This window comes from Homo sapiens (assembly GCF_000001405.40).
Source record: "Homo sapiens chromosome 1 unlocalized genomic scaffold, GRCh38.p14 Primary Assembly HSCHR1_CTG7_UNLOCALIZED".
Classification (NCBI taxonomy): Eukaryota; Metazoa; Chordata; class Mammalia; order Primates; family Hominidae; genus Homo; species Homo sapiens.
The window spans coordinates 96,885-107,396 of record NT_187367.1 but is presented as its reverse complement, the minus strand read 5'-3'; the positions used below and the strand labels follow the sequence as shown (position 1 = coordinate 107,396).

General features: G+C 60.2%; 1 long non-coding RNA gene across 1 annotated transcript; it reads left to right on the top strand.

Moving 5' to 3' along the window:
• Positions 1-2,574: 2,574 nt before the first annotated feature.
• Positions 2,575-7,664, top strand: LOC105379523 (uncharacterized). Its single transcript, XR_951298.2, has 3 exons — positions 2,575-2,927; positions 4,634-4,804; positions 5,669-7,664. It is a non-coding gene; the product is annotated as an uncharacterized LOC105379523 (long non-coding RNA).
• The last annotated feature ends 2,848 nt before the right edge of the window (positions 7,665-10,512 follow it).

The window sequence follows — 10,512 nt, the reverse complement described above, 5'->3', positions numbered from 1 at the left end:
TGCTGCCTTGACATGTTTGAGCCTCACAGGGCCCCAAAGACCTAGCCGTGGGTTTTCCTGTTTCTACCAGACACCCCCTACCCCGCCACCCAACAGGAAAGGCTCCCCACCTGGCTAGTTCTTTTATCAGCCAGAACAGTTGCACCTCAGCCTAAGAAGTTTCACTTCACCTGTCTGCCAGCCCATGAATTTATTCAAACAAGCCAATTGCATTCCCCCTCGGGAACCATTGGTCATCGTGTGCTCTTGTTACTACCAAGCCTCCCTGCTTCCTCAGCCCGCAGCCCTCACTCCACTACAGAGTGCGGTGCCCATCTGACCCTGTGTGGCATGCAGTGTCCTCCTCTGAGCTGTGGGTATATGTGACTAAAACACTGCTGTCAATCGCATCCATCCACGCCAGGTGTCGTGTTCAGCCATCTCCTACACTTTAGGGCAGGGACCCCTCCTTCACCAATGGGGTGAAAAGGAAGTGACCATAACAACTGCTTAATGACAAAAGGATTAACCCACCAAGAAGACATCTACTTCGACATCCTCCTCTTAGCAACTGTTAAAACTAGGCAGAGGCCGGGCACAGTGGCTCATGCCTGTAATCCCAGAACTGTGGGAGGCAAAAACAAAGGATAGCTTGAGGCCAGGAGTTCGAGCCTGGGCAACATAGCAAGGCCTCATCTCTCCAAAAAATTTTAAATTTAGCCAGGTGTGGCGGCACACACCTATAGTACCAGCTACTCAGGAGGTTAAGCCAGGGGAAGTACTTGACCCTAGGAAGTCAAGGCTGCAGTGAGTCATGTTCGTGCCACCGCACTCTAGTGTAAGTGACAGAGTGAAACTAGGCACAAAAGGAGCAAGGATTTACAAAAGATCTGAACAGTCAACCAGCAAAATCTGACATCCGTATAATACCCCACTCCCCAACAGCAAAACACACACATTTTTAAAGTCAATAGAAATCTACCAAGATGAGGTACACTTGGGGCAATAAAAGAACTCACAGCAAATCTCGCTGTGTGCCCCTCTGCACCAGCGCCGTGCCCCTCTCTGCACCAGCGCCGTGCCCCTCTCTGCACCTTCTTTTCTCACCATGGGGAAGCGTTTGGGGGCCTCTTGAGGGACCCCCTAGATGCTTCTACTCAGAGCCCCCAAAGCCGGGGAGCCTCCACTCCTCTGTCTGCAGCCTCCCCTGTCGGTTCTCGCTACCCAGGGTTCAGTGGCCTGGGGGTGACGGAGGGGGTCGCCTCTGCCAAGGCCCCTCCCGGCGCCTCCCTGGCTCATCCAGCCCACCTTCCTCCCACGCTGGCTCACGCAAAGTGCTCTGGTCACCAGGAGCCCTTCCTGACCAGCCCCAGCCCCTTCTTGGCCTTCGCCCACCTGGCCTCCCCTGGAGCCCTGACCTGGGTGCCGGGCCTGCTGGGTCCAGAGCCCACCCCGCCCTGAACAACCCCGAGTCTCAGCCACCCTCGGTTCTTACCCTTTCACAGCTGGGGAGTGGAGCCTGGGCCTGCGCCTCTCCGCGCCAGAGCCGGCGCCAGCGCCTCTCCGCGCCTGCGCCGCCGCTGCGCGCCTCGCCGCCGCTGTCCGCCTCTCCGCCGCTGTCCGCCTCTCCGCCGCGCCGCCGCTGGCCGCCTCTCCGCCGCTGTCCGCCTCTCCGCCGCGCCGCCGCTGGCCGCCTCTCCGCCGCTGTCCGCCTCTCCGCCGCGCCGCCGCTGGCCGCCTCTCCGCCGCTGTCCGCCTCTCCGCCGCGCCGCCGCTGGCCGCCTCTCCGCCGCTGTCCGCCTCTCCGCCGCTGTCCGCCTCTCCGCCTCTCCGACGCCGGCCGCCTCTCCGCCGCTGTGCGCCTCTCCGCCGCGCCGCCGCCGGCCGCCTCTCCGCCGCTGTCCGCCTCTCCGCCGCGCCGCCGCCGGCCGCCTCTGCGCCGCTGTCCGCCTCTCCGCCGCGCCGCCGCCGGCCGCCTCTCCGCCGCTGTCCGCCTCTCCGCCGCGCCGCCGCCGGCCGCCTCTCCGCCGCTGTCCGCCTCTCCGCCGCGCCGCCGCCGGCCGCCTCTCCGCCGCTGTCCGCCTCTCCGCCGCGCCGCCGCCGGCCGCCTCTCCGCCGCTGTCCGCCTCTCCGCCGCGCCGCCGCCGGCCGCCTCTCCGCCGCTGTCCGCCTCTCCGCCGCGCCGCCGCCGGCCGCCTCTCCGCCGCTGTCCGCCTCTCCGCCGCGCCGCCGCCGGCCGCCTCTCCGCCGCTGTCCGCCTCTCCGCCGCGCCGCCGCCGGCCGCCTCTCCGCCGCTGTCCGCCTCTCCGCCGCGCCGCCGCCGGCCGCCTCTCCGCCGCTGTCCGCCTCTCCGCCTCTCCGCCGCCGCCGCCTCTCCGCCGCGCCGCCGCTGGCCGCCTCTCCGCCGCCGGCCGCCTCTCCGCCGCGCCGCCGCTGGCCGCCTCTCCGCCGCTGTCCGCCTCTCCGCCGCGCCGCCGCTGGCCGCCTCTCCGCCGCTGTCCGCCTCTCCGCCGCGCCGCCGCTGGCCGCCTCTCCGCCGCTGTCCGTCTCTCCGCCGCGCCGCCGCTGGCCGCCTCTCCGCCGCTGTCTGCCTCTCCGCCACGCCGGCGCCAGCGCTGTGTGCCTTTGCGAGGGCGGAGCTGCGTTCTCCTCAGCACAGACCCGGAGAGCATTGCGAGGGCGGAGCTGAGTTCTCCTCTGCACAGACTTCGGAGATACAGCGAAGGCAGAGCAATGTTCTCCTCAGCAGAGACCCGGGCGGGCGGGCCGGTGGCACCGCGAGGGCGGAGCTGCGTTCTGCTCTGCACAGACCTTGGGGGCACTGCCTCGCTTTGGGACAACTCGGGGCCGCATGGACAGTGAATAAAATCCTTCCTGTTTGCAGCCCTGTTTGTGGTTGGTGGCAGCGATGGACACTGCAGCCAGCCAGAGCGTAGAAAGGCGTCGGGGTAAGTGCGCTATCCAGGCTGCACTGTGGGTGGCCTGGGACGGGTTGGGAGCCCTATCTCAGGCGTCACTGCCCGTCTTGGGTGGCCGGTTGGGTGTGCTATCTGGGGCTGTGCTGCCTGCACCGGGCGGGGGGGGTGGTTTGGGGGCCAAACCGGGGCTGCACTGCCTTTGGTGGGGAGCCGGTTGGGGGCACTATCCCAGACTGTATTGCTGGCAACAGTGAGGTGGGCTAAGTGTGCTATCCGGGGCTGCACTGTGCGGCTGTCGGGGGGGTGGCGGTTTCGGGTTGAGGGCGCTATGGGGTGCTGTAATGCCCATGGTGTGGGGAGGCGGGGCAGTTTGGGTATGTTGGGTGTGCTATTGGGGGGGTGACACTGCTGGTGGTAGGGGGCAGGGTGGGTTGGGGGCCATATCAGGGGCTGCACTGATGGCTTTAGCTAGGATTTCTGGTACTATGTTAAACAACAGTGGTGACAGGGGGCATCCTTATGTTCCAGATCTTAGAGGAAAAGCTTTCCATTTTTCCCCATTCCATATGATTCTAGCTGTGGGTGTCTTTCCTGTAGTTTTTATTATGTTGCGGTATGTTTCTTCTGTGCCCGTTTCTTTGAGGATTTATAGCATGAAGGGATGTTGAATTTCATCAAATGCTTTTTCGGTTTCAGTTGACGTGATGATACTGTTTTTGTCGTTTATTTGGTTGATATGATGTATCACATTGTATGTTGAGTGACCCTTGGGTCCCAGGGATACATCCCACTTGATCATGATGAATTATCTTTTTAATGTATTACTGAATTTGATTCACTGGTATTTTGTTGAGGATTTTTGCATCAATATTAGAGATCCTGGCCTGTAGTTTCCTTCTTTGATGCTTTTGTCTGATTTTGGTATCACAGTAATAATGGTCTCATAGAATAAGTTTGGAAGTATTCCCTCCTGTTTTTCAAAATAGTTTGAGCAGGATTCGTACTAGGTCTTTAAATTGTTTGGTGTGAAGCCATCAGCAGTGAAGACATCAGTTCCTGGGCTTTTCTTTACTGGGAGACTTTTTCTGATGGCTTCAATCTCATTACTTGTTACCAATCTGTTCTGGTCTTGGATGTTTTCATTGTTTAACCTAAGTAGGTTGTATGCATCTAGGAATTTGCCAATTTCTACTAGGCTTTCCAATTTATTGGCATATAGTAGCCAGTTATGATCCTTTGAATTTCTGAAGTATTAGTTGTAATGTCTCCTTTTTTTAATCTGTTGATTTTATTTATTTGAATCTTGTCTCTTTTCTTAGCCTGGTTAAAAGTTTGTCAATTTTGTTTAGCTTTCCAGAAAACCAACTTTTCGTTTAATCTTGTCTGTTTTTTATTTCAATTTTGTTTGTGCTATGATCTTATTTATTTTCTTATTTTCAGTTTAGTTTGTTCTTTACTAGTTCTTTAAGATGTATTGTTTATTTGAAGGTTTTCTTTTGTTTGGATGGTAGGCACTTATAGCTGTAAATCTCTGCCTTTGTACTGCTTTCTGCATAACAAGTTTTGGTATACTGTGTTTTCATTACCCTTTGTTTCATGAAATTTTTGAATTTCTGTCTTAGTATCTTCATTGACCCACTAGTCATTTATTCAGGAGGGTAGTGTTTAACTTCCATGTGATTGTATTGTTTCCAAAATTGCTTTTCTTATTGATACCTAGTTTTATTCCTTTGTAGTGAAAGAAGATGGCCACGGAGACAGACAGCAGCGTGGTCAGAGTGGTAGGAGCCGGCCATCAGCGAGAGCTGCTCCATGCCTGGCTGCTGGGTCCTAGAGCCTGTGGCCCACTGGCTTGCCTCACTGTGGTTGGTGGTGGTGGTGACAGAGACTGCAGGACGACCAGAGTGGTAGGACAGGGGCTATCCAGGGCTGCACCTTTCGCAGTGTGGGGTGGGTTGAGGGCGCTATCCAGGGTGTCATTGCCTGCATTAGGGGTACTGGTTGGTAGCACTGTACAGGGTTGCACTGCCCACGGCAGGGAGGGTGGGTTATGGGTGCTCTCTGGGGCTGCAATGCCCATGGAGGAGGACAGGTTAGGGCACTATCGGTTATACGCTACTGGCGGCATTGGGGGACGGAGGTGGGGGGCGCTATTGAGGGCAGGACTAGCCATGGAGCGGGGGCGAGTTCGGTGCTATCAGGGGCTGCACTGCTGGTGTCGGTCAACAGAGTTGGCATCCAAGGAAGGAGTGGTTCTCCTCTCCCTGACTCCACACTCCAGAGGGCGACCCACTCTTGGTCATACTGGAGTGCAGCAGGGCACACAGTGTTTGCGTGGGAATCCTGAGCATGGCAGAGCCCCCACACCCACCGTGGTTCCTGGGCCTGTGTACTGTGGGTCTGTGCCTCAGAGGCTGCCAGGCACCCCTGGGGACACCACGGGGGACAGGGCCCTGTGCGTGGAGGCGTCCGGAACAGGAATTGGCACCTGGGTGTGGAGGGCTGGCTGGGTCTGAATTTTTCTGCTTCTCCTGCTCCCCGAGGAGTGCAGCCCCAGTGGGCCCAGGGGTTCCTGTGGAGTGGGGAGCTGGATGCTGTGGTGTCTCCAGCACCCACCCCAGACCCCAGTTCCTGCCCAGCTTGGGCCAAAAGGAGAGGCTGGACTTTGGAGGGTGGGTGTGAGTGCCTTTGCTGAAACTGGCCCCTGCCACCCAGTGGCCGGCATGACAAGTTGAGGCTCTAACCCTTCCACCCCTCACATCTTTCCCTAGGCTTTTCTGGCTTTGCCCGCCCAGCTGCTCTGTGCCAGGAGGAGGAGGAGACACCTAGAGCCTGCGACACCATGGCTCGCCTCGCTGCGGGTGGGCGGCAGTGACAGAGACTGCGGTGCGCCAGAGCGGTAGGAGAGCGGCTGCGCTAGGAGGGCAGGCGGCTGCAGCCAGGGTTGGGGGTCAGGCTTAGAGCGATGGACGGGCTGCAGCAGTGGCCAGGTGGTAGGAGCCTTGTAGGGAGGGCTGGTGCATTGGCAATGGGCCTGGCTTTGCCCTGCGCCTGCCGTGGATCTGGCCCTGTACTGCCCTGCCTTGCCCTGTACCTGCCCTACTGTTACTTGGACTCTCGGCCCTGTCCTGCTCTGGTCCCATCCTGACCCTGTCTTGGCCCTGTGCTACCCTGTCCCTGCCCTGGTCTTGCCCTGGCACTGGCCCTGCCCTGAACCTGCACTGGCCTGACCTTGGCTCTGGCCCTGGCTCTGGCCCTGCCTCTTGTCCTGACCCTGGTCGTGTCATGGCACTGGCCCTGCCAATGGTCATGGTCCTGCTCCTGTTCTGGCCCTGACCTGGCCTTGGACATGTCCTGGCCCTGCTTTGGCCCATCCCTGCCCTGGCTCCACCATGGGCCTGCCTGTTCTGCCCTCTCCTGGCACTGACCTTGCCTTGTCATGGCCCAGTGGTGCCATTCCCTGCCTTACCCTGCGCTGGTTGTGACTTGGCCCCGCTTGGTGCTGGCCACTCCCTGGACCTGCCCTGGACCTGCCCTGACCCTGCCCTTGGCTTTTGCCCTGCCCTCACTATGGCCTGGCCCTGGCCCTAGCCCTGGTCCTGCCATATCCCTGGCCCTGCCCTTATCCAGGCCCTGCCCCTGCTGCTGCCCTGGCCCTGGCCTGGAACCTGGTCCTGTCAAGGACCTGCCCTGACTCTGCCATGGCCCTGGCCCTGCTCTGCCTTGTTCCTGGCCCTGACCCAGACCCAGACCCTTTCCTGGCTCTGCACTGGACTTTCCCTGGCCCTGAGCTGGCAATGGTCTGCCCCTGGTCTTGCCATCACCCTGCCCTGCTGTGCTCTGGATGTGTCATCACCCTGCCCTGGCCCTACTCTGCCTTTGACCCTGCCCTGGCCTTACCTTGGCCCTCACCCTAGCCTGCGCTAGACCCTGCTCTGGAGCTGACCCTAGCACAGACCTGGCCCTGATCCTGGCCGTGGTCTTTGTCCTGCCATAGCCCTGGCCCTGAAGTGGACTTGGAGGTGTCCTGGCCCCGGCATAACATGGCTCTGCATTGGCCTGTCCCTGCCCTGCCGCTACCATCTCCTTGCCCTGCTCTGTCCTGTCCCAGTACTGACCCGGCCGTGCTATTTCCCTTCCCTACCCTGCCTTGGCTGTGCCCTGGCTCGGTTCTGGCCCTGGCCCTGGCCCTGCCCTGGACATGCTCTGACACTGCCTCAGCCTCGGCACTAGCCTGGCTCTTTCTTGGCATCAGCTCTGCTCTCTCTGTGGACCGGCTCTTGTCCTGTCCTGCACTGGCCATACCATGCCCTGCCCTGCCCTGCCCTGACTCAGTCCTGGGTCAGCCCTGGCCCAACCTTGGCCTTGGCATTGCCCCTGGTCATGCCATATTTCTTGCCCTGTCCCTACCCTGGCCTTGGCCCTGACCCTTACCTTGCTGTGGCCCTGCCCTTGCCCTAACGCAGCCCCTGGCCCTGTCATGGCCCTGCCCTGGACCTGTCCTGGCCCTGGCCCTTCCCTGCTTGAGACCTTGCCCTGGTTCTCCCCTGGCCCTGACCCTGAAATGCCTGGCCCTACCCTGGCCTTGCACTGCTCTGGCCCTTGCCCTGACTCTGGTCCTGTCACTGGCCTAGCCCCAGCCCTGTTGTTGGTCTTACCATGGCCCAGACCCTGCCTTGGCCCTGCCCTGACACTGTCCTGGACCCTGGCTGTGCCAAGAACCTGCACTGTCCTTGCCATTGTTTTGCTCCTGCCCTGAACCTGGTCTTCCCCAGGCCGTGGCCATGGCCCTGGCCCTGGCCCTGCCCAGGTCTTGGCACTGTCCTGGCCCTGCCCTGCCCTGGCCCTGCCCTGCCCTGGCCCTATGCTTTCCTGGCCCTGCCTTGCCGGCCCTGGCCCTGCCTTGGCCCTAGCCTGGCTTTGACCCTGCCCTGGCCCTACCTTGGCCTTCACCCTAGCCTTACCTGGGCACTGTGTTGGACCTGGCCATAGCACAGACCTGGTTGTGGCCCTGGTCCTGCTGTGGCCCTGTCTCAGACCCTAGCCCTGCCAGGTACCTGTCCTGGCCCAGCTCTGGGCCTGGCTTTGTCCCTGGTTCTTAGATGAACCTGGCCCTGCTCCTGCCCTTGCTGTTGCCCTGGCACTGGCCTTGGACATGTCCATGGTCCTAACCCTGGCCCTGCCCAGGAGCTGCCACTGTCTTGGCTGTGCCCTGGCTCTGGCCCTGCCCCGGCCCCAACCATAGACCTGCCCTGGTTGGTCGTGCCCTACCTTAACCCTGTGCTACCCTGGGCCTGCTCCACCCTGCCCTGGCCCTGCCCTCCCTTTGGCCCTGCCCTGACCCTGCCTTGGCCCTCACACTGGCCCTAGCACAGACCTGGTCCTATGTGTGGCCTAGGCCTGGCATTGACCCCTGCTCCTGACCCCGGTCCTGCCATGGCCCTGGCCCTGCCAATGACCCTGGCAGCCCTGACCCTGGCCCTGTCTTGGCCCTGGCCCTGAACTGGCCCTGCCCTGACCCTGGCCCTGAAGTGGATTTGCAGGTGTCTTGTCCCTGATGTAACCTGGTCTTACCATGGCCCTGTCCCTCCCCTGGCTCTGTCCTGGCCTTCTGCTGACCCTGACCCAGACCTTGGCCCTGCCCCAGCCTTGTCCTAGATCTGGCCATGGCCCTGCATCTTCCCTGGACCAGCACTGGCACTGGCATGGACCCTGGCCCTGACCCTTCGCTACTTAAGGCCATACCCTGGCCCAGCCCTGGTCCTGACCCTGTCCTGGCCCTAATTTGGCCTGGCTCTACCCTGGCATGCTATTCTGGCCCTAGCCCTGACCCTGTCCCTGTCCCTGTCCTGGCCCCAGCCCCATTGCTGGTCCTGCCACGGCCCTTGTCCTGACATTGCCCTTTCCTGGTTCTGGCCCTGGCCCTGTCCCAGCCCTGCTCTGGCCCTGGTCTGAACCCTGGCCCTGCAATAGACCTGCCTTGGTCCTGCCCAGACCCTGGCTCTGGCCCTACCTCTGCCCTGGCCATACCCTTGCCCTGGCCTGGACTCCAGTCCTGGTCCTTGTCCTGCCCCAGCCGTGGCCCTGGCCCTGCCCTGCCTGTGCCCTGTTCTATCCTGGGCTGGCCCTGCCATGGCCTGGTCTTGCCATTGCCCTGCCCTAGCCTGCCCTGCTTGTGCCCTAGATCTGCCCCGGCCTTTGCCCCTGTCTTGGTTCTAGCCTTGACTGAGCCCTGGACCTTCCCTGATCTTGCCTCAGCCCTGGCACTACCCTGGCCTTGCCTTGGCATTTGCCCTACTCTCTCTATGGCCTGGCTCTGGTCCTGCCCTGCTCTGCTCTTGTTCTGTCCTGGCACAGCCCTGGCCCTGGCCCTGGCCCTGCCGTATCACTGGCTCTGGTCCTGCCCTTATGCAGACCTGACCCTGCCACTGCCTTGGCTTTGGCCTGGACCTTGGCCATACAGTGACCCTGCCATGACCCTTTCCTGGCCCTGGCCTGGAACCTGGCCCTGCCAAGGACTCGCCCTGGCTCTGTCATGGCCCTGGCCCTTTCCTGGATTTGGATGTGTCCTGTCCCTTACTTACCCTGGCCCTTCCCTGGCTCTGCCATACCCCTTCTCTGGGGTAGGGCCAGGGTCAGGACCAGACCAGGGCAGGGTCAGGACCAGGGTAGGGCCATGGTAAGGCCTGAAGATGGGAAGGGCCAGGGCAGCGGCTGGACCAGGGAAGGGTCAGGGCCAGGGATGTAGTAGGACTAGGGGCAGAGCCGGCACTAGGGCTGAGCCAGGACAGAGCAGGAGAGATTACATTGGGCTATTACATAAAATTTTTATTTTAGATTTTTAAGATAACTATAGTAGTAGTAATGTCTATACTATATTGTTTGTAATAGTAATAATATTTGCAGTAATCACTAAATTTTAACTAATACTATCTTTGCTTCCAGTAGTGTTCTATGAGTATAATTTTATCAATATGTTAATATGTGAGGCATTGATTCTCACAATAATTCTATGTGCTAGGTACTTAAAGCATCCCCATTTTCCAAATGTAGGAAACAGGTATAAAGAAGTTAAATACTTGGCCAGATTACTCCTGTAATCCCAGCACTTTGGGAGGCCAAGGCAGGCAGATGGCTTGAGCTCAGGAGTTTGGAACCAGCCTGGGCAACATTGTGAAACCCCATCTCTACTAAAAATGCACAAAAAGAACTAATTTAAGTTTCTTGTAGGATTCTGGTTATAAAACACTGGTCAAACACACAGGGCATGGATAGGGCAGGGCCAGGGACAAGGTCAGGCCAGGAAGGGGCCAGGGCCAAGGCAGGGCCAGAGATGGACTTGGAGGTGTCCTGGTCTGATTTGCCCTGCCCCAACGTTGGTCCAGCCCTGCTCTGGCACTTCCTGTCATGCCCTGTCCCTGGCCTGAGCATTGGCCCTGGCCCTGTCCTGCTTCTGGCCCTGCCCGGGAGTTGACCAGGCACTGCCATGGCCCAGTCCTGCATTGCCCTGCCCTCCTCTGCCCTGGTGCTACCATGGCCCTGCTTGGGCCCTAGCTCTGCCTCGACTCTGGACCTGCCCTGACTCTGCTCAGCCCTGGATCTACCCTGACTCTGC